The sequence below is a fragment of the Homo sapiens genome, chromosome 13 (genome assembly GCF_000001405.40).
Source record: "Homo sapiens chromosome 13, GRCh38.p14 Primary Assembly".
Lineage (NCBI taxonomy): Eukaryota > Metazoa > Chordata > Mammalia > Primates > Hominidae > Homo > Homo sapiens.
In genome coordinates this window covers 60021388-60045372 of record NC_000013.11, presented here as the reverse complement: position 1 = coordinate 60045372, position 23985 = coordinate 60021388, and the positions used below count along the sequence as shown (strand labels likewise).

The following is a 23985-nucleotide window of genomic DNA, read 5'->3' as shown; positions in this document are numbered from 1 at the left end:
AATTTATTTATTTTTATTTTTATTTTTTTTTTGAGACGGAGTTTCAATCTTGTTGCCCAGGCTGGAGTAAAATGGCATGATCTCTGCTCACCTCAACCTTCACCTCCCGGGTTCAAGCGATTCTCCTGCCTCAGCCTCCTGAATAGCTGGGATTATAGGCATGTGCCACCATGCTCAGCTAATTTTGTACTTTTAGTAGAGATGGGTTTCTCCATGTTGGTCACGCTGGTCTCGAACTCCCGCCCTCAGGTGATCCGCCCGCCTCAGCCTCCCAAAGTGCTGGGATTACAGGCATGAGCCACTGCACCCAGCTAAGACTGGGTAATTTATAAATAAAAAGGTTTAATGTACTCACAGTTTCACATGGCTGGGGAGGCCTCACAATCATGGCAGAAGGCAAAGGAAGAGCAAAGTCACATCTTACATGGCAGCAGGCAAGAAGTGCCAAGCGAAGGTGGGGGAAAAGCCCCTTTTAAAACCATCAGATCTCGTGAGAACTCACTGACTATCATGAGGACAGCATGGAGGTAACCGTCCTCATGATTCAGTTACCTCCTACTGGATCCCTCCCAAAACATAGGATTATAGAAACTACTATTCAAGATGGATTTGGGTGGGGACACAGCCAAACCATATCATATATGTTTTAAAATATAAATATATGCAAATATATTAATATTCTCTCTATATATGAGAAAAATGCTTTATGTAGAAATATATTAACAGTAGTTATTTTGAGGCACCTTTGTTCCTGTTGCTTTTCTGTGTTTTCTAAATTTTCTCTGTTGAACAATCAGTCCTTTGGTAATTCAGAGCAAAAAGAGACATCAATAAGTGCTCTGTTGGTACAAGTTGAATATGTTCTTTGAATGATATCAGTGACTGCGGTAAAAATAATCGGATGTTCATTTTCATAGCTTTCACCATTTCCCCTTTTATTTTCGGAGATTGTACCATTGAATTCTTCTTTATTAAATTACTACTTTGATAATGACATGAATAAAAATAACCCGTCTTTACAGTGCTAATTTGTTTTGCTTTATTGGGAATGTTGTTTTGAATAACATTATAGTAAATTAATAAAAACAAAAAACATGAAAAACACCGAATTTCGTACCACTTCACCTGATCTTCTTTTGAACTTACACAATTCATTTCCTGCCGTTGGATGGTGAATCTGTAATTCAAATAATATAATTCAGAACTTTATTGTTAGTTCACCATCCTCATCATTTCCTATCTAGGCTATATAGATACCTTCTCAACAGATCTCTCTGCTTCTGATCTCAGAGTAAAAGTCCAAGTTCTTTCAGTGGACTGTAAAACCTACAGTTCCCTCCATCACAGCATTTTTTTTTCCTGTATATGCATGGTTAGCTGTCTTATCTCCTTCAGACTTTTTATTTAAACACTCAAGTTTGAGGCCTTTGAAGTCTTCTCTGTGAGGCTTTCTTTGACCATCCTGTTTAAAATTGCATGTCTCATATGAAGCTACTTATTCTCTTTCCTGCTTTTATTCTTCTCTACAGCATTTATTATTTACAGTGCAATGCATTTTCGTTATTTTATGTATTGCCTGTTTCTCCCCATATGTAGTAAAGCTACATGTAGGTAGGAAGTTCAATCTCTTATTCTTCTTTCATCTCTGCTCTATTCTCAGTACTTAAAACAGTGCCCAGTATTTAGTAGGTACTTAATGTTTGTTGAATAATGAGTGAACTCTAACTCTTCTAATTCATATTTCACACTGGAGTGATCCTTCCAAAACTCCCCAGGAGAGCTAATTGCATAGTAGTGCTCTATCACTCCATGATCTGGCCTCTGTCTTCAGTTGCATATGTTTTTGTTTTTCTCTGCATGTGTACGTGTGTGTTATGTTTTGGTCTGGAAGTTAATTCCTTTCTCATTCTTTGCCTCCCTAATGCTTACTTACAAAAGAAAAACCAGGAAGATGTAGCCCTGTTTTGCAAGCTTCCCTGATCTGTTCTGCCAAGTTAGATGTTCTTTCTTTGAGTCTCTTGGTGCTGTGTTACAGGAACTAGACTGTAAAGAAAATTATTATTTTCTTGCTTGCATTTCTTCCAGACTTCGCTTTTTGTTAATCCATGTGTCTACAGTGCCTAGAACTAGGCTTATAGTGATAGTTGAATGAATTAATACCTAATAGCCTTTTCTACACTGCTCAGAATACTAATTTTAATAGGGTAGTTCTTGTATTGAGTTTTGAATTTTATTTTGTGTGTGCCTAAAAATATTACTGTATTTTAAGATATTTTCTATAGTATACAATTGTTCTCCATGTCATTTTACATTTGAGAAGGCAGTTATTTCAATTTGCACACCTTCTGATGTTATATTACTATCTTTTGTGGATACCACACATTATGAATTCATAGATTTTTGGGCAGAAGTAAGGAAATTATTTACCACCCTTGCCCAAATAGTGTTAATTATAGTAGTTATGTGCTGCTGTTAGGGAGATTAACTTGTTATTTTTTAATGGGTAATCTCCATGCAGTATTAATCAAAACATTTTTTGACTTATTTTATAGGGAAGTCTTAAGAGAAGCCGACAGATCTCACCTCAGGAATTCATTCATGAGCTGAAAATGGGGTCTGCAGATGAGAGACTTGTCACATGCCTGGAGTCTCTCCGAGTGTCTTTGACCAGCAATCCTGTGAGGTAATTCATCTATTTGAACACCAACAGGGCAGATGTCATTAATGTGTTCTTTTAGTTTAATACTTTTTTTCATTTTGCCTGGTAAACCTCAACAGTTTCTCAAAGTACAAACTGAATACCTAATATTTATATGCAGGAAGAAATATAGTCTCAATAGTACCTTTTGCATTTATTACTGAGTGGTACATTGCTCAGGGACTGTAAAAAAGCCTTTTGCCCACATAGAATTTTTAGAAACTTAAGGTGTTTTCTAAAAGACAATTGTCATGTGAGAAACTATTAATTTAATATGACTGAGTTTCACCCTGAATTTTGTCATTGTATATTTACTTGCTGATCTTATTTGACACAGTAAGAAATACCACTAATTAATTTTTTCTGTTGTTGGAAATGATGTCGTTGTAGGGGCCTATAGGTTAGTATTGCTATATTTACCAAATAAAAGTACAGAATGACCAGAAATATTCAATTCTAGACACACACACACTGTTTATCTGACGTCCAAATTTAAGTTTGTATCCTGTATTTTATCTGAAAACAATACCATAGGTGTTTCCATAAGTCAGTTTTGGAATGGGGCTAATTTTTGGTGCCTCTAAGAAATAGTTGTGAACAAAATTGAACAATCAGTGTAAATATATTTTGATAAACTGGACATATTTAAACTTGTCAGATTATTGCATGGTAGGAGACAGACTTGTTAAAAAAACAAAAATCAGGAAGATGTACCTGAAATATATCATGTATGTTAATTGTGGTGCTTAAAAAGAGAGATTTCAGTCTATTCAGAGGCCATTTGCTAACTCTGAATTAGGTAGGTGGCTAAACAAGAGTATTCTTGAAAAAATTCAAGCAGAAGTTGTTATGAAATACCTAAACAGTCAGAAACAGAGAATTTCAGAGCTACAAGGATTGTAGATCAGTTTTGGGTTTTTATTGTGTAAGAAATGAATGATTATTTCTGCATAAGAATATATGTATATGTAGTCATGTATCTATACGTGTGTGTGTGTGTTCTGAAGGCTAGAATTGCATACTATAATTGGAGGTTCATGATATGGAGAAGAATTTGCTCTGATTATTACTTTTTTGGACATTTCTGTGGCTAGGATATAGTATGCAGAAATCTTTGACCGTACATGTATTTAAAAGAAAACAACCTTACCTGCTGAGATGTGAGACTGAGTGAGATTTATCTAAGGAGTATGATGAGTCAACAAAGAAACTTTAGTATATTTCAACTTTATTTTTCCATATTTTGCCATTTCCAGTCTGTCCTCTAGACTGCAGACTAATGGTTGGCATGAGACTAGGGCTTCATATGTGTAATTTACCTCGCGTTACCAGACACGCTGTTTAGCATGTAGGAAATGCTCCATAAAGATTTGTTGATTGAAACAATGAGGTTTTAATTTTAGCCTTCTTTAGTCTTACCTTGGCTAGTGTTAGAAACTGAGAATGGATTGGGGAATTTATTTGACAGATATATTCATAAATGAAGAGCTTTGGTGTCCAGCTTAATCTTTGCCTGTAGAATATGTTCATTTAAAAATATATTTGTCCAGGTTCATTTAAAAATATATATTACAGGCTCAAGCCTGTAATCCCAGCACTTTGGGAGGTCGGGGCAGGTGGATCACTTGAGGTCGGGCATTCCAGACCAGCCTGGCTAACATGGCGAAACCCCGTCTCTACTAAAATTACAAAAATTAGCCAGGCATGGTGGCAGACGCCTGTAATCCCAGCTATTCAGGAGGCTGAGGCAGGAGAATCGCTTGAACCTAGGAGGTGGAGATTGCAGTGAGCTGGCATCGTGCCACTGCATTCCAGCTTGAGTGCGAGAGCGAAAAAAAAAATTATTGAGCACCTGCTGTTTTCCAGTAGTATGTTGGGTGTGGGGCTTGAATAAACAAAGCAGATTCACATCGTATTTCTATGGAGTTTAAACATAGAAAGGGTATTGGGGGTGTTGACTGGGGAGACAATTCACACTCATTTCTCAGTTTATCTGTCAGCTAGTGGGCACTGGAAATATTCATAGTTTTTCAATATAATGAGGAGTAGACCCTTTATTTACTACTACTATTATTCTCCTCTTCATCTACTCAAAAGTAGATGTCTGTGCTAACAAAAGAAAACAAAATAGAAGGTTTTTATATATGAATTCATGCATCTTACAATGGGTTATTATTGTGATTTTACCTAAAAACACTGGGAAATTATGCTGTGTCTTGTTCATTTGAACCTTATTTAAAGAAGAAAAACTAGAAACTGGTGGAATTCTTTCTCTAAGGATGGACAATTCTAGAATATGTTATTAGGAATCCATGATGTTATCCATGAAGTAGTTTTTTTTAATTGAAAAGAATAGAAAATATCATTGGAGAATTTTTTCTGAAATCATGCCACTTTATTTAGAGAGAAAATTGAGAAGATCCTTTTTTTTTTTTTTTTTTTTTTTTTGAGATGGAGTCTCACTCTTTTGCCCAGGCTGGAGGGCAGTGGTGCAATCTCAGATCACTGCAGCCTCCATCTCCCGAGTTCAAGCGATTCTCCTGCCTCAGCCTCCCGAGTAGCTGGGATTACAGGTGCGCACCTGGCTAATTTTTGTATTTTTAGTAGAGACAGGCCTCACCATATTGGCCAGGCTGGTCTTGAATTCCTGACCTCTAATGATCCACGTGCCTTGGCCTCCCAAAGTGCTGGGATTCCAGGTGTAAGCCACTGTGCCAGGCTCAAGAAGATACTTTTGAATATTTCTTTGTCCAGTGTTCCAATTAGAGAAATGACTTAGCTGGACATGTAAAACTTGGAAGTTATGCCTGTGATCAAATTTTTGGACTTTCCTGTTAGTTATGATATGCCTGCTCTTTGAATCAGTTTTTAATTTTTATACAGTATGTGACTAAAAAGAATTTCTAATTTTTCTTAAGTTTGAGATCATTGTTAGACCTGTAATATCATTAAGTAAATTAGAGTTAAAGTTTTTAAAATGTCTGAATAGAACAAAAAAGAAAATTGAACTGATTGATGGTTTTCCAATGCTGGTGTAGGTTCAGGATTTATTTAAATAAAAAATGAAGGAAGGCTGAGTACGGTGGCTCATACCTGTAGTCCTGGCACTTTGGGAGGCTGAGACGAGCGGATCACTTGAGGCCAGGAGTTTGAGACCAGTCTGGCCAACATGGTGAAACCCCGTCTCTACTAAAAATACAAAAATTATCTGGGCATGGTGATGCATGCCTGTACTCCCTGCCACTTGGGAAGCTGAAGCACGAGAATCCCTTGAACCTGGGAGGCAGAGGTTGCAGTGACCTGAGATCATGCCACTGCACTCCAGCCTGGACAATAGAGTGAGACTCTATCTCAAAAAAAAAAAGAGAAAGAAATCAAGGAAAAAGTAGACTCCTCTGTACTCCCAATTAGCTCTCCCCTCTTGGCTCTGGATATGTAATATTTTTAGAGCCACTCTTCAACTTCTGAAACTGCCTAGCAATTGTGAGCCATGTCAGCCTTTTACTCTCTATGAATTATGTGAAAATCAGTATGCTAAATACTAGATTATTTGCCTTGCTTTATGAAGATTTGATGTAGAGATCACAAACATCTTCTATTTGTTATTTATTGATTATCTAGTATTCTCGGTGACAGTTTTGAGCTAGTTCTGAACACCAGGGAAAAGACCAATTTCTTCAAATTATCAAATATTATTTTTAGTGGATCTTGACATAGTCAATAATTATGTTTGAATTATGGAATACATTTGGGTAGAAACATAAAAAGGTAGACAGCAACATCATTTTGATTGATATCAGCATTTATAGATCATACTCATCTATGCATATAGCAAATTAGTGATAGAAGGTATCTTTATTTTCTTAATTTGACGTGCCTGTCAAGGGTAAGATTTTTTGTCTCAAAATCTAGGCTTATCAGGTTTTTGTGTTTTGAAATTTTAGGCATTATTTTCCATTAATCATAGTTAAAATTTTCATTTTCAAATTAACAAGAATAATTTTCTCATAAAGTTATCTTTTTGTTAGATTTCTAAAGAGATTCTTAAGTTGATAACTATAATTTTGAGAAAATCATTTTGGAAAATTTTGCAGAAATGTATGTGTTTACGTGAAAACAAGTAAACAGCCTTTGAATGTCATTATTCCATTTAATAAGTGTCGTTTTTGGAATCCATTTTTTCTTCATTTCTGGGATTAAAAACACAAAGCAGGTGGAACATCTTGATTTCGGAGTTGATCTAGTTCATACCATAAGTCACATGTGTAAAGACAGAAAAACTTGTGACAAGCAGTGAGATCAGTGTACTCATTTTTATCAACATGATCTGAGGAAGTCTTTCAAGATCAGAAATTTGAAGTTGCTAATACTTTGACTTACTTTAAATTTTTAAATTAGATATTAAACATTTCCAAAAGACAATTTGTCATAACAATATAACATGCATCTCCTTGCCTACTAATGAGGCTGAGACATATAATATTGCCTATAGCTTTGAAGCTTCCTTTCATCCCTTTTTAATCCTATACCCTCATTCATTCCTAAACACCCCTTCCCCCTACTATTCTGTGGTAACCACTATCCTGAGTTTTGGGTTTATCATTCCTTTCTATTATAGTTTTAGTATATACATATTCCTAATTAACCTACTGTTTGGTTTTATATGTTTTTGAACTGTATGTTAACCAGTCATCTTCCATGCATTCTTCTGAGAGTTGTATTTCCTCTCAATATTGTTTCATAGATTTATCCATCTTGATGTGTGCAGCTGTTTACATTTTTCCCAACTAATCATTTTCATACCTTGTATTTTAGGAATATCTATTATAAATAGCATATGAATAATTTTTTTATCCCGTCTGATAATCTTTGTCTTTATCTGGTAGTTTTAACTTTTTGTATCAATTGTGAAAATATGTTGGAATTTATATCTGATGTTTCATTTTGAATTTTTAATTTATGCTACTTTTTCCAGGTTCATCATCCAAACTGCTCCTGCTCCTCCTCATTTCTTCTTTCTGCTTCTTCCTTTTCTATATTCATCCTTCCTCTTTATTCTCCTTAACTTCTTTTGGATTGATATTTAATTTCTTATTTTATTTTTCCTCATTTACTAATCTAATTCTAATCTTAGAAAAGAAATTTAACATGAACACACTTTAAAAAGAAATTTAACTTGCATGTACTTCAAAGGTACAAAAGTAAGCAATATCTCTTCTCTTGAACCAAAGAATACTTTAAAATCTTTTTTCACTTGTATGCTAGTTTTGAGTGAAATTTCAGTGTATCTGTTTTCTTTTAATAAGTTAGATTTTACTATTATTGAGTCATATTATAACTGTGTGTATATGTATATATGTTTCTACACACATCATTCTTTTTGATTTTTGTCCCCGCCCCCCAGATTATTTTACTTTTGCTTTAAGTATATTATTAAGATTCCTTAGTGAGAGTGTGATGGCAAAATTCTGTTTGAAAATATCTTTTTTAAAAATGATATTTAATCAGGTTGACCCACAATTTTTTTTTTGTTATTATACTTAACGTCTCAAAATATCTATTTGCCTTTGCTTTGGAAGGATAGCCTTCCTAGGGCATGCAATTGAGATGCAATTGAGGGTTTTAGATATCTATGCTTAAGGTGTTGTAGAGTTTCTTTTACGTGTCTGGGTGAGATTTCTTTCTTTTTTATTCTGATAGGGAATTTTCTTTGGCTTTTTGAATATGATGGGTATCTTTCTGTGAAAATTTTGCCATTGTTTTGTCAAGTATTGCCTTTTCCCCTCTAATTTTGTATATGTTAGACCATCTTGCTCTATACTTTATTATTTCCTATTCTATCATTAATACTTTGCATTTATTTGTCTCTCTCTACTCCATTCTGGATATGTTTTTTAGATTTGCATGGCATGTTTTAGAATTTTAGATTAACAAGTTATAAAAACTTATTAAAAATTCACCTTAGGTTAAAAAGTGTTTGATAATTAACGATATATTCAGATTCATTTTGATACTAGTAGTGATAATTTCTGAAAGGGGCAGGTGGAGTAAAGGTTTTATTGGGTGTATTTCTTTTCTCTTTTTCCTTTCCTTTGTTTTTCTTTCTCTCTTTTCTTCCTTTCTCTTTGATATTGATACCACGGAGGTAAGTAATGCAGGCAGCTCTGTTTTCTTTCCTGTTATTCAATATGGTAGCCACTAGCTGCCTGTGGCTATTTAAATTTAGTTAACTAAAAATGAATGAAAAAAAAACACAACAACATATTAATTGCTTGAGAGCCACATGTAGTTAGTGGCTACCATTTTGGACAATATATATATATAGGCCATTTCTGTCATTGTAAGCAATTCTATTAGACAGTGCTGCCTAAGGGGCCTTGGTTCTGCATATCCACTTCTTTGATATATTAACTACATTATTATTACATTCTCAATGTTATATTCCAGATGGTGAGACTATTATAAAGAAAATAAACACTGACAGATTGAAGATTGTTTTTTAAAATCTGCAAGGATGATTGGACATTAATCTCAAGAGAGTCCCAAGGGAATAGAAGAGTGATCTAAGGAGGTTTCCCTTCAGCAGAGAGTGCTGGCTTAGCAGGATGAGGCTAAGGGAGGGAGTGGGCTTTATACCAGGTATTAAGGAATAGAAAAGGAGAGGTGAAGTATGTCTGACAGGAAGTGCTATAGTTATGGTCCCTGGCAGTCATCGGTGTAACAGCCTGTAGCTGGAATGAGGGAATCAGCAATATAGTACATCATAGAAGTTGTAGAAACATCTCTGGTAAATTAAAAATATTAGCGGGATGCATTTTTTAAACAGAGTTTTCATTAGAGAGATGTGCCTACTTGTACCTCTTAAAGGCATTTTTTCAAGATTACTTTCCAATAAGAAGTCAAAAAGTATTAGGTAGGTTATTAATATTGTTCTTTATTGTTTTGACACTGCCATCTATCTTCAAATATGCCTTCTATTATTTCTTAATTGCCATTCAGAGTTTGTAATGTTTATGACAAGTAGCATTGCTTATTAAATAAATATTTGTTGAAAATACCTTCTAATTTTAAGTCATGTGGCTGTCCTTTCTAAAAGCATGTCAAATTGATGAAATATTAATGAAAAAATGTCGTGGAAGAAAGTAACTATTAATGTTTTCAAATAAGTACTAACTTTACATTTTCAAAGGACAAGCCATTACTTTCTCATGCTTTCACAGTCCTTCCAAACCTAGCACCATTTCTCTAAGAGACCTCTAGAAGACTGAATGTTCCCTAGGGGTAGGAGGCTGCTTCTTTTGTATACCGTCATTCATTCTATAGCTTTTTTTTGGTTTATAGATGTAGCAAAATGTTGTATAAATATTTGGTTTCAAAGTGTATCTGTATCTTAAAAGCTTTGGCTTTGAATACAGGGTTAACAGTAAACAAAGAGCACATGGAAAATTTATTAATTGCTTTTAACAGACACGTGTATTCTATAGATGGTAAATAAGAGCTACTCAGCTCAATTTATAGTTGACCTGAGAGGGCCTGGAATTGTAAAGTGCTCCAAATCTATTTTTTAAAGTTATATCTATATCTATATATGCTGTACATATATACATGGCGTATATACATATATATGGTATATATATCTGCCATATATATCTCCCAGTTTATTTAAAATATAGCTGTTTAAATGGCCAAGATTGACTTTTTAAAAAAAATTCTGTTAACATGTAAAGTGAGTCACAATGTGACACAGAATCCAAAATCTTCATTTTTAACGCAGTTTCATATAACTACGAGAGCTCATGTATGTCTAGATTAGTTAAATTCAACTACTCTATTAAAAAATAGATTTTGTACCCTATATTACTGATACTTAAGTATAACGGGGAGAAAATGTAACTAAAACCTAATTATTTGAGCTGGGCATGGTGGCACATGCCTGTAGTCCCGGTTACTTGGGAGGCTGAGGCAGGAGGATCTCTTGAGTCCAGGAATTCTGGGCTGTGGTACACTGTGCCAATCAGGTGTCCACACTAAGTTCAGCATCAATATGGTGACCTCCTGAGCACGGCAGATCACCAAATTGCCCAAGGAGAGGTGAACTGGCCCAGGTCAGAAACAGAGTAGATTAAACTCCCATGCTGAACAGTAGTGGGATTGTGCTTGTGAATAGCCACTGTACTCTAGCATGGGCAACACAGTGAGTCCCTGCCTCTTAAAGCAAAGCAAAACAAAACAAAACAAACCTAATTATTTGAAACTATCAGTTTACTGTTTAAAAGACAACAACAGAAGGTAGAGTGTTAAACCAAAACAATTTGGAAAAAAAAACTCATTAAACTTTACAGTTTCTTATGGATATAAAGGTAGAATATAATAAACTTTCTTTCTTTTTAATTGTTAATGCCTGTTTTCTGAGAATGTAAACCTTATGTGTTTATGGCTTTACAGCTATCAGTATGAAGTTATTAACTGAATATTTTGGTTTCTTTGGTTTCTGTTGAAAGATAAATATTTTCAATGAGAGAAATTATTAAACTGCAGATACTAAAGCCTCTAGTTATTAGTACTCTACATACAAAGAATCAGTATAGTTTATTCCTTAGATTAATTTTCTGGGCTTGTTATTATGTCTTAGAGTATTGCCAAGTCGGTTAAGTAAAAGATTTTTAAAATGATGATGTTTATCTTGGTATTCCCTTACATATCTATACATGAAGAAAGGCCTTAATACAAAGGAAGGCATCACATTGACAATAGAAGAAGTTTTAATTTTTATCATTCAGAAAACTTTTTAAGAGTAAAACTCCGTCAATTAGATTGATGATGGATTAATAGTTCTTTTATTAGAGGGGCAGTATATGTCTGAAAGGAACAGGTACAGTTTATTTCAGCTTCTTGTATATTAAATTTCATAAATAATAATTGATATAGTTTGGATATTTATTCTTGCTCAGATCTCCTGTTGAATTGTAATCCCCAGTGCTGAAGGTGGGGCCTGGTGGGAGGCGTTAGGCTCACGGGAGTAGATCCCAATGAGCTTGGTGCTGTCTTTGCAATAGTGAGTGAATTTTCATGAGATCTGGTCATTTAAAAGTGTATGTCACCTCTGCCCACACTCTCTTTCTTGCTCCTGGTCTCACCATGTGATGTGCCTGTTCCCCCTTCACCTTCCACCAAGCTTCCTAAGGCCGACCCAGAAGGCAAGCAGATGCTGGTGTCATGCTTCCTGTGCAGCCTGCAGAACCATGAGCCAATTAAACCTCTTTTCCTTAGAAATTACCCAGATGCAGATTTTTTTTTATAGAAATGCAAGAATTGCTTAATGCAGAAAATTGGTAAAAAAAAGAGTGGGGCATTTGCTGTAAAAATATCTGAAAATGTGGAAGGAACTTTGGTACTGGGTGATGGGCAGAGGTTGGAAGAATTTGGAGAGCTCAGAAGAATATGGGAAATAAGGGAAAGTTTGAAACTTCCTTGCGACTCATTAAATGATTGTGACCAAAATGCTGATAGTAATATGGACAGTGAAATCCATGCTGAAGAGGTCTCAGATGCAAATGAGGAACTTATTGGGAACCAGAGCAAAGGTCATGCATGGTATGCCTTAGCAAAGAATTTGGCTGCATTTTGCTTCTGCCCTTGGGATTTGTGGAAGGTTGAACTTCAGAGTGATTTAGGGTATCTGGTGGAAGAAATTTCTAAGCACCAAAGCATTCAAGATGTGGCCTGGTTTCTTGTAATTGCCTATGTTCCAATGTTGGAGCAAAGAAATTTATATTTGAACAGGAAGAAGAGCATAAAGGTTTGGAAAATTTGCAGCCTGCCCATGTGGCAAAGAAAAAGGTTTTTTCAGAGAGGAACTCAAGAAGGCTGTGGAGCAACTACTTGCTAGACAAATTTGCATAACTAAAAAGGAGCCAAGAGTTAATGTCTAAGACGATGAGGGAAAAACCTTGAAGACATTTCAGAGACCTTTGGCAGCCCCTCCCATCACTGGCCCAGAGGCCTCCTGGGGAAGAATAGTTTTGAGGGCCAGGCCTGGGACCCTGCTGCTCTGTGCAACCTTGAGACACTGCTCCCTGCTTCCCTGCCACTCCGGCTCCAGCTTTAGCTCAAAGTGGCCCTGGTACAGCTTGGGCCACAGCTCCAGAGAGTGCAAGCTGTAAGTCTTGGTGACTTCCATGTGGTGTTAAGCCTGTGGGTGCACAGAATGCAAGAGTTGAGGTTTGGTAGCCTCCGCCTAGATTTTAGAGGATATATGGAGAAAGCCTGGGTGTCCAGGTAGAACACTGCTGTAGGGGCTGGCAGAATCCTCACATAGAACCTCTGCTAAGGTAGTACCAAGGGGAAATGTGGGGTTGGACCACTTACAGAGTCCCCAGTGGGGCACTACCTAGTTGAGCTGTGAGAAGAGGGTCAGTGCTCTTCAGACCCAAGAATGGTAGATTGACCAGCAGCTTGCACCCTACACCTGGAAAAGCTATAGACACTCAATGCTGGCATCTGAGAGCAGCTGTGGGTGGTGCACGCTGCAAAGCCACAGGGGCAGAGCTACCTAAGGCCTTGGGAGCCCACCCCTTGTACCAATGTGGCCTGGATGTGGGACACAGAGTCAAGAAGATTATTTTGGAGCTTTAACATTTAATGACTGCAGGCCAGGTGCGGTGACTCACGCCTGGAAGGCCAAGGCGGTGGATCATGAGGTCAAGAGATTGAGACCATCTTGGCCAACGTGGTGAAACCCCGCCTCTACTAAAAATACAAAAATTAGCTGGGCATGGTGGCCTGTGCCTATAGTCCCAGCTACTCAGGAGGCTGAGGCAGGAGAATTGCTTGAACCTGGGAGACGGAGGTTGCAGTGAGCCAAGATCGTGCCACTGCACTCCAGCCTGGTGACAAAGCGAAAGACCCCATCTCAAAAAAAAAAAAAAAAAAAAAAAAAAAAGATTTAATGACTGCCCTACTGGGTTTCAAACTTGCTTAGGGCCTGTAGCCCCTTTGTTTTGGCTGATTTCTCCCATTTGGAATGGGAATGTTTACCTAATATCTGTACCCCCGTTGTATCTTGGAAGTAAATGACTTGTTTTTGATTTTACAGGCTTGTAAGTAAAAGGGACTCACCTTGTCTCAGATGAGACTTTGCACTTTGGACTTTAGAGTTAATGCTGGAATGAATTAAGACTTTGGGGGACTATTAGGAAGGCATGATCACATTTTGCAATTTGAAAAGGATATGATATTTGGGAGGGGCTTGGGGCAGACTGATACAGATTGGATATTTGTCCCCACCCAAATCTCATGGTGAATTGTAATCTCTAGTGCTGGAGGTGGGGCCTGGGGGAGGTGTTTGGATCATGGGTCAGATCCCTCATGGCTTGGTGCTGTCTTTGTGATAGTGAGTGAGTTCTTGTAAGATCTCATCATTTACAAGTTTGCCTCCCCACCCCCTCTCCAGCCAACACACACACTCTGGCTCTGGCCATGTGACATGCCTGCTACCCCTTCACCTTCTGCCATGATTAGAAGCTTCTTAAGGCCTTCCCAGAAGCAGAGGAGATGCTGGCGCCATACCTCCTGTACAACCTGCAGAACTGCGAGCCAATTAACCTCTTTTCTTTATAAATCATCAAGCCTCAGGCATTTCTTTATAGCAATGCAAGAATGGCCTAATACAATAATATGAAAGAAACACCCAAAAGAATGTTAGAGCCACTGATATCACCTGCAGTCCCTCTGCAGGGCTAAGTAGAAGTTTAGCGCATTTGAACAGAAGCCTGATAGAACTTTCTACAATGACAAAAATGGTCTATGTCTGTCTTGTTCATTACAGAAGCTACTTACCACATGTGGCTGTTGAGCACTTGAAATATTGCTAGTGTGATTAGGATTTAAATTCAGAATTTAAATAGCCACATGTGTCTAGAGGCTACCCTATTGGACAACACATCTTTAGAGATCAGAAAAACATTTCTTGTGCACTTGTTTTGAGCCTTTGTACTCTTGAGTCTATATGTGTGGCTGCTCTCTCCACTGTGCTATGAATTTCTGAGGAGGGGACCCGGTATTGTATCATTGTGAAGCCTTAATATGGGACTCAGGAGAGAAGATCAGAGTACATGTTAAATGGATTTGAATAGTAAAAACAGAATAAGGAGATTAATGCTTGAAATAAAGTAAAATACATGAGCCTGTACTGCTCATTTGCAAGACAGGAGAGCAGGTATTTCAAGTGTTTTTATGTATTCTCTGTTTGGAATACTAGATGAGGTGCAAGGATTTCTTTTCTTAAATTGTTGCGATTCCTTTTAGAGAGAAACATCTAACATGTGAAAGAATAAAGCTCTTAAGTTCCTAAGTATGTGACATGGATAACATGCCACTAAAATATAGCACAGGATTTTGTAATCTATATATGCAACAAGTATTCCAAGGGCTATGCTAGGTACCACAGTAAAAGAGAAGCATATAGGAGAGAGAAACCTAGAACACAAATAAATAAAACAAAAAGGTATAATCAGTTCAGTGAAGAAAAAATGAGGACTGAGAGTAATTAATGGAGAGGTTTTTTGATTTAGCTGATTATAGAAAGTCTTTCTGAGGTGGTGGAGTTTGACACCAAAGGACAAGGAACTAGTTTAGAGAAGAGTGGGCAGTAGTACTGAACATGAGGTGGAAAAACCGTGTGGCAGAGGGATGGAGAGAGGAGAGGATGGTGGAATCCAAAAGGCTGTCAGAGAAGGTGGGCAGTGGCCAGGCCATGCGGAAGGTCATGGCCATAAAGCTCGTGGTAGGGTTATTGGATTTTCATTCTGTGGAAGTGGAGTCTGTTGAAGAGTTTCAAGCAGGAGATGAGCTATTCTGGCTTAACTTTCTAAAAGGATCACTTTAACTGCCACAGGAAGTGTATTAGTGTGTTCTCAGGCTGCTATAAAGAACTGCCTGAGACCGGGTAATTTATAAAGGAAAGAGGTTTAATTGACCCACAGTTCTGCTTTACTGGGGAGGCCTCAGGAAACTTACAATCATGGCAGAAGGCAAAGGAGAAGCAGGCACCTTCTTCACAGGGTGGCAGGATGGAGTGAGTGGAAGCAGGGCAAATGCCAAATTCCCCTTATAAAGCCATCAGATCTTGTGAGAACTCACTCACTTTCAAGAGACTAGCATAGGGGAAACCACACCCATGATCCCATTACCTCCACCTGGTACTGCCCTTGACATGTGGGGATTATGGGGATTATAATTTGAGGTGAGATTTGGGTGGTGACAGAGACCCAAATCATATTAGGGAGAATTGATTGAAGGGAGGAGAGAGTGGACAAGAAGGTGTGAGATAGGAGGCTCTGGCAGTAGTCACATGAATTAGGAGGGTGGCTTGTATAAGGATTGTAGCAGTGGTGGGCCAAGGGGTGGGTGAATGTTGCAGATAAATTGGAGGTGGAAACTGTAGGACCTGTTGGTGGATTGGATGTAGGATGTGAATGAAAAGGAGGAATCGAGAATAACAGTTTTTTTTTTTACTTGAGCAAATAGGCAGATAGTAGTGCTGTTAATTGGGGTGGAGGAGGTTGTTACTTGTTCCGTGAATTTTGGAGAAGAAAAAAAATCCCCCCTTTTTTTTTTGAGACGGAGTCTTGCTCTGTCACCAGACTGGAGTGCAGTGGCACGATCTCAGCTCACTGCAACCTCCGCCTCCTGGGTTCAAGTGATTCTTCTGCCTCAGGCTCCTGAGTAGCTGGGACTACAGGCGCATGCCACCACACCTGGCTAATTTTTGTATTTTTAGTAGAGATGGGGTTTCACCATGTTGGCCAGGATGGTCTCGATCTCCTGACCTTGTGATCCGCCCACCTCGGCCTCCCAAAGTGCTGGAATTACAGGTGTGAGGCACCGTGCCCGGCCAAAAATATCCCTTTTTAACATGTTAAGTTTGACATGTTTAAAAGAGTATCACAATTTGAGACATCAAGCAAACCCCTAGATGTGTGAGTCTGGAGCTTACATATGTGGAGTGGAGATATTTAAGTCCTGAGAATGGATGCAATCCCAGTGTGGGCAGGTTGTATGGAGAAGGAAGCTAAAGATACAGGTGAGCGGTCAGAACAAGTTCTGAAGGACTCCGGGTTCAGAAAGTGTCCAGAAATAGGTGATCCAGAAAGGGAAGAGGAGGCAGAAACACAGACTGAGGAGTAGCCAGTGGGGAGGAGAACCCCAAATGCTGGTTTCTGGACCTAAAGGAAGAGTGTTTCAAAATAAGGGAGTGACAAACTGCATAGCGTGCTGCTATGAGGTGGGGCAAGATGATATTATTGGAACTGGCAAGAGGAAGGTTGTTGGCGTCCTTTTAGAAAATAGATTTTTTTGGAGTCTTGGTGGTAGAAGCCAGACTGAAATGAGATTGAGTGAATGGATGGCAAGAAGTGCTGACCATGCTTGTGATGAAATTTTTTGAGACCTTTTGCTATAAAAGAAAGGAGAGAAATGGGAACTAACTTGAGGGGTATCTGAGGTCAAGTGAATGGAACTTGGTGAACACATGGAGAAATCAAATCAGCGAGAGTTCAAAGAAGAAGGAAATGTGAATTGGCCTTGAAAGCTGAAATTGTTTCAGTTGTTACAAAGGCAGTTCTGTGGAGGGGAGCATTATGAGTGCATTGCCACACAAAAGTAGCAATGAAATTTATAGAATCAAGGGAAGATCATGGGTTTTAATAATTAGGACTGCTCTGACCAGCATTGGGTAGTAGTGACAAGTATTTAGGGTGGGGACAAGCGGTGAAAAGCCTGAAATGTGACCATAACGTCTTTTCCACATATATTGTTGGCAAATTAGTCTATATTTAAAATGAATAATTTAGTGCTTTCTTGAACTAATGATGTTTAATTTGATACTAAGAAACTACTTACTGGTACTGGTAGTGCCCTTTAGTTAAATATTAGTGTACTAATATTTAACACATTCCAAATAAGATATTTCCTTTTTTATAATATGTTCCTTTTAATAGTGGACTTAAGTTTTGATTAGAGCACATACCAGTATCTATGTTTTAAAATCCATACTTGTTTTACTGTTTTTTCATCTAAAGGTCAAGAACTCTTGTTTCTTGTGCTTTGTTTTTTTATCATTCCTGTTAACCTGGTTTTATTTTCATTTTATTTGGAATGCTTTCTCTAGATATTTTATGCCTTTCAGTATGTTATAGCCAAAAAGAAACTAGGAGAATACTACATTTATTACTGTGTTATCTTATCTGATATGAAAAGTGGGAATAAATGATTGTTTTTAAATATACAGTTTCTTTAAGAAGTATATTTCAAGAAAATATACATATTAGTGGTTGTATTTTGAAGGTTAGTAGATTTTACAATCTGAACATTATTTATAATAGTTCCTGAATTCCCAGCCTTGCTCTGTAATTTAGTGTAATTTGGGTGGATGGGCCATTGAATGGCATGTAGGTGTATGTTTGTCTTGCCCCACAGGGCATGCTAAGTGCTTTGTACTCCCTCCTAGAACTGTTCATTTTAAGTATTTAGTCACCTTGGTAAAGGTAGGTGAAAATGAAAGCTTAAAATAAGCTATAATTATATTCAGCATTGGTGATATATTACTCTGACAGAAGAATGTAAATTGGATCTAGATATTATACAGTATTAAAGCTGACCTTCCAAGTTTAAGGTACAAAATTTGTTAGTTTGTCACATGTGAGCAGTAATGTATTTTTTCTCCTTTTAAGAAGCTTTGTGTATTGATTTTAAACCATCTAGATTTGTGTTTCCCTAGGCATTCATGTAAGATTATTCTTTTGGGTAATTAAAAATATTTTTCTTATTACAAAAAAGATAAGATCATTATAGGACAATAAGAAAATATGCAAAAGCAAAATCAAGAAAAATGTATAATATTATCTACTTAAATAGACACTAACTTCTTGGAGGAGAGAGAGAGAGAGACACTTTGTCTACAGAGGAAGTCTTCCTGTCTAATACCGTTGGTTGGTTGGTTAAAAAAGTTGCTTAAAGCATGTAATAATCAAATAAATGATTCAAATATACCCCAAACATTTTTTTTTTCAATCTAAAGCATAAACATTTTTTTCTGTAGACATTTCATATGGAGCCCAGACCTTTTCTTGGAGTGGGCAAAGGCTGATTGCATAAAGCATACTCATAATGCGTTGTCTTCCTGATATTGGTGCTTTAAAGAAGAACAGGATCATAAAGGCTCTGGCAGAGCAATCTGAATGCAGAAGTATTCTTCTGCTAAAAAAATTTTTTTTGGTACTACGATTTCCCTTTAATATATAGTTGTGCCCACATTTACTTCTACAGCAATTTAAAAAGTAATCTATTTTTAGCTTTCCAAATCATTACGCTTAGTTTTCATAGAAAAAGTACCCCTTTCCCCAATTATGTGTTATCTGTTTATATAATATTAATTATATAAATACAATAGTAGGTACAACTGTCAGGAATGGATTTGGAAAGAAACCCAACTGGTTCTGGTGGGAGCAGTGTGTGGGGATGTATAAGAGAGTAGAACTCAAGCCTTGAATTAGCTGACTAGGTGGAGGATGATTAAGAATGTTTGTATAGCTACACATATGTACATACATTTCTTATATGTGAACAAAAACATTTAAGAATAATAATAGAAAATGCCTTATATACCATTTCTGCTTTTTAAACTTAAGATATATGAGCATCATTCCACTTCAAGATTGTAGGCATAGTTTTTTCTTTAAGTTTGGTTTTGTTCCTAGGCCCTAGCTAAGTGTGGTAGCCATCTTCATTGCTCCTCTAATATTCTCTGTTTATTTTTGTAATAGTGTTTATGGCACACAGTTTTTTTTTAAATTGTCCTCATCTCAGTCCTCCTACAAATTTCTTCCATCAACTCTTTAATCCCAAATTATGTTTTTTTCTTTGTTCTTACTACCCCTTTTCTGTTTTAATTCTTTTGCAATCAGGATTTCACTTCTACAGAATTATTTATAAATTGTTGTTGAATTCATTTCTTTATAGTTCTTTTTAGCCCTTATTTTCTTTGACCTCATTTTAGCACTTGACTCTTGACTCTTCTCTTTTTGAAACTTCTTCTTTCCTTTGGATTTGTTATGTCAGGTTTACTTGGTTCTCCTCTTACCACTGTCACTGCCTTTTTCTCATTTTCTTGGTGGGAGCTTCTGCCTGTTCTCACACTCTAACAGTGGATGTTTCAGACTTGTGTTTGAAAGATAGACTAAATCTACTATTTCCTTTTTTTTTTTTTTTTTGCTAAGCACAACTAGAAATACTGGACATTATATGTGAAACAAATATAAGAAGACAGGCTAGGAACCTTGAGATTTAAGAAACAATATGGCGGTGAGTTTGCTGGGTTGTCTTTCTGCCTTTTTGTCAGATTTGGAGGTGAAGAAGTCAGTAACCCAGAAGTGACAGTGGGCACAGAACAAAGAAGTCCCAACAAAAGCCTTCTCTCTGAAACCAAAGGACCACAAAAATGGCAGCAAACAAGACAGAAAATGTTGGCAATAACTGCTTTGTATTTCTGCTAAATATCGCAGAAAAAAATATGTGGCCCCATCCCCCACCACACTATCAAAAAGCAAAGTGGGTAGCCTGGATTTCTACCCACAGATGGCATTAATGAGGCATTCTTCCCCCTCCCCACTGGCATTATGTCCAAAGAAGCCAATAGAGTCAGGGCTTTCACAACCACCCAGTGATAACAGACGTCCACATCCCCCTTCCATGGTGCTATTGTAGGTTACATGGTGAGCATAATGAGGCAGTCCTCCTTCTCTCCATCAGGGAGTACCTAGATTCCCATCCATGTCAAGTGGTAACAAAGAATCTCTCTTGGACTTCTGTTTCCACCTTGCAGTAATGAGGTGGTGCTTTCTCTTCTTCCACTGGAGCTGTGTCATAGGAAGCTTACTGAAATAAGAGGTTTATATAAGATTTAGAATCTTATAACACGATATCCCAAATTTTCAGCCTTCAGTATAAAAAATATGGTCATACCAAGAAGCAGGAAAATCACAAACTGAATGAAAAAAGACAATAGATGACACACTGATATGACAGAGATGGTAGAATTATCTGACAAGAATCTTTTAAAAAGCAGTCATCATAAAAGTGTTACAATAGGCAAATAGGAATGTGCTGACAAAAGAAAAAAAATAGAAAGTCTCAGCAAAGAAATACAGGAAACTATTTCTTCTTTTAAAGAACCAAATGTAAATCTTAGAAGTGAAAAATACAATAACTGAAGTAAAAAGCTTACTGGAGGGCCTCAAAAGCGAAACATGAGGCTGAAAGGAGAGAATTAGTGAACTGGACTATAGAATGATAGAAAGTATATAGTCTGGACCACCAGGAAAAAATAGATTGGGAAAAAATACATACAGAGTCTCAGGGAATTATGGGTCTATAACCAAAGATCTAACATTCTTGTCATTGGAGACTTGAGAGGAGAAAGAGGACAGGATAAAAAAGTACATGAAGAAATAATGGCTGAATAGGGTGGGCACGGTGGCTCATGCCTGTAATCCCAGCACTTTGGGAGGCTGAGGCGGCTGGACCACCTGAAGTCAGGAGTTTGAGACCAGCCTGGCCAACATGGTGAAACCCCATCTCTACTAAAAATACAAAATTAGCTGGGCGTGGTGGCACGTGCCTGTAGTCCCAGCTACTTGGGAGGCTGAGGCAGGAGAATGGTGTGAACCCGGGAGGCGGAGGTTGCAATGAGCTGAGATTGTGCCATTGCACTCCAGCCTGGGCGACAGAGCGAGACTCTGTCTCAAAAAAAAAAAAAAAAAAAAAAAGGCTGAATAGTCCCCAAATTTGGCAAAAGACATAAACCTACCTAAACTGAATCACAAACAGGATAAACTCAAAGAAATTCACACACAGACATATCATAGTCAAATTCCTGAGAACTAGGCTGGGCACGGTGGCTCACGCCTGTAATCCCAGCACTTTGGGAGGCTGAGGCGGTTGGGTGTCTTGAGGTCAGGACTTCGAGACTAGCCTGGCCAAAATGGTGAAACCCTGTCTCTACTAAAAATACAAAAATTAGCCAGGCATGGTGGTGCGTGCCTGTAGTCCCAGCTACTCAGGAGGCTAAGGCAGGATAATTGCTTGAATCCAGGAGGCAGAGGTTGCAGTGAGCTGAGATTGCACCACTGCCCTCCAGTTTGGGAGACAGGGTAAGACTGTGTCTCAAAAAAAAAAAAAAGTTCTGAAAACCAAAGATAGATAAAAACATCTTGAAAGCAGTGCCCAAATTGCGAATTTCATGAACTAAACAAGATATATTACCAAGACATCAACAGGATAATAAGGGAATACTTTGAACAACTTTAAATATACAACTCAACAACTTAGATGAACTAGATCAGTTCTTTGAAAAACTACAACACACCCAATATGAAATAGATAATTTGGATGGCCCTCTGACTATTAAGATAATTAAGTTCCTTCTCCCCACCAAAAGATCTTCAGGTGCAGGTGATTTCACTGGAGAATTTTACCACAAACTTAAAGAAGAATTAATGCCAATTTTCCATAGTCTGTTCCAGAAAATAGCAGAGCAGACAGCAATTAATTTTTTTTTAAAATGAGGCTTGAATTACCTGATAGCAAAACCAGACCAATACAGTACCAAGATAGAACAAAACAAAACCAAAACCCTCAAACTTACAAACCAATGTTCATCATGAGTATAGATACAAAAATCCTTATATAGTGCATTATATTGACAAGCAAAAGAGGAAAAGTCACTTGATCATTTGAATCAATGCAGAAATAGCATTTGACAAAATTCAACACTTGTTCATAATGAAAACTCTCAGAAAAGTAGGAATAGAGGGTGAATTCAGTTGTGTCCCTAGAAAGATGTATTTACATTCTTAACACTCTGCAGAATGTGGCCCTTTTTGGAAACAGAGTCATTGCAGTGTAATTAATTAAGATGAGGTCATAAAGGAGTAGGGTAAAGTCTTGATCCAGTATGACTTGTGTCCTTAAAAGAAAAAGGCAGAGATACAGGAAGAGTCCCATCTGATGACTGGAAGGATTGGCAGCTTCCATCAGAAGCTAGGAACAGGCAGTGAAGGATTCTACCCAGAGTCCCAGGCAGCAGCCCTGCTGACACTTTGATTTTGAACACCTTGCTTCCAGAACTACAAGATAATATATTTGTGGTTTTAAACTCCTCAGTTTCCTGCAGCCCCAGGAAACTAATACAGAGGGGAACTTTCTTAACTTGGTAAAGAGATCTACAAAAATCCTATAGTTAATATTCTATTTACTGATGAAAGACTAAATGCTTTCCCTCTAAGATAGATTGAGAACAAGGCAAGGATGCCTGCTTTCAGGACGCTTGTTTTACACCATAGGGAAGTTCTAGGTAGAACACTGAAGCAAGAAAAGGAAATAAAGGCATGCAGGTCAGAAAGGTAGAAATAAAACTGTCCCTATTTGCAGATGACATGATTGTTTACATAGAGAATCTCAAGAAATCTATCAAAAACTCCTAGAACTTATCACTGAGTTCAGCAAGGTTGCAGCATTCAAGATAAAAATATAAAATTGTATTTCTATGTACTAGCAATGTACTTGTAGAAAATGAAATTAAAAACACAATACCATTCATAATTGCTCAAAAAATAATTGTAATTCTAATGAATTACCCATAGGACTTTTATGCTGAAAACTACAAAATAACGATGAAAGGAGTTAAAGAAGATCCAAATAAATGGAGACATCTAGTGTTTATGAATAAGAGACTCAACTCAATTTGCTTGTCCATTTGGGTTATTGGCAGAACCCAATTTCTTGTGGTTGTGGGATTAAGATTCTTACTTCTTTTCTAGCTGTTCAGTTGACGGCCATTCCCAGGTTTTTCAGTCCACCTACATTTTTTGGCTCTTCTTTGGCCTCCTTCATTTTCAAAACCAGTAAAGGCAAGATGAGTCCCTTTTATGCTCTTTTTTTTTTTTTTTTTTGAGACAGAGCCTTGCTCTGTTGCCCAGGCTGGAGTGCAGTGGGCAACCATCTTGCACTTGTTGTCTGGGCAAGATGGAGCCCAGGCACCATCTTGGCTCACTGCATTCTCTGCCTCCTGGGTTCAAGGGATTCTCCTGCCTCAGCCTCCCAAGTAGCTGGGATTACAGGCACTCACCACCACACCCGGCTATTTTTGTATTTTTAGTAGAAACGGGGTTTCTCCGTGTTGGCCAGGCTGATCTCAAACTCCTGGCCTCAAGTGATCCACCCACCTCAGC

The 23985-nt window shown here is 37.6% G+C and overlaps 1 protein-coding gene, 1 long non-coding RNA gene and 1 pseudogene across 21 annotated transcripts in view; 2 read left to right on the top strand and 1 right to left on the bottom strand.

The window, feature by feature from the left end:
- DIAPH3 (diaphanous related formin 3) overlaps positions 1-23985 on the top strand; it is a 498346-nt gene that overhangs the window by 118556 nt on the left and 355805 nt on the right. For all 16 annotated transcript variants that reach the window (XR_002957478.1, XR_002957480.1, XR_941672.1 and 13 more), the window contains one exon: positions 2553-2683. Coding sequence is in view for 11 of the 16 variants with exons in the window: in NM_001258368.2 (NP_001245297.1) it covers positions 2553-2683 (131 nt within the window). In the remaining 5 variants the exon portion in view is untranslated. The remainder of the gene's footprint in view (positions 1-2552; positions 2684-23985) is intronic.
- DIAPH3-AS1 (DIAPH3 antisense RNA 1) overlaps positions 1016-23985 on the bottom strand; it is a 31640-nt gene continuing 8670 nt past the window's right edge. For 3 of the 5 annotated variants that reach the window (NR_046539.2, NR_051994.2, NR_051993.2), the window contains 2 exons: positions 2584-2692; positions 1016-1177 (listed from right to left, as the gene is read on the bottom strand). This is a non-coding gene — a long non-coding RNA (DIAPH3 antisense RNA 1). Of the gene's footprint in view, positions 1178-2583; positions 2693-20220; positions 20633-23985 lie in introns of those variants that run through there. The other 2 variants (NR_109838.1, NR_109839.1) reach the window with 2 other exon arrangements.
- On the top strand, positions 10611-10908 carry RN7SL375P (RNA, 7SL, cytoplasmic 375, pseudogene; annotated as a pseudogene).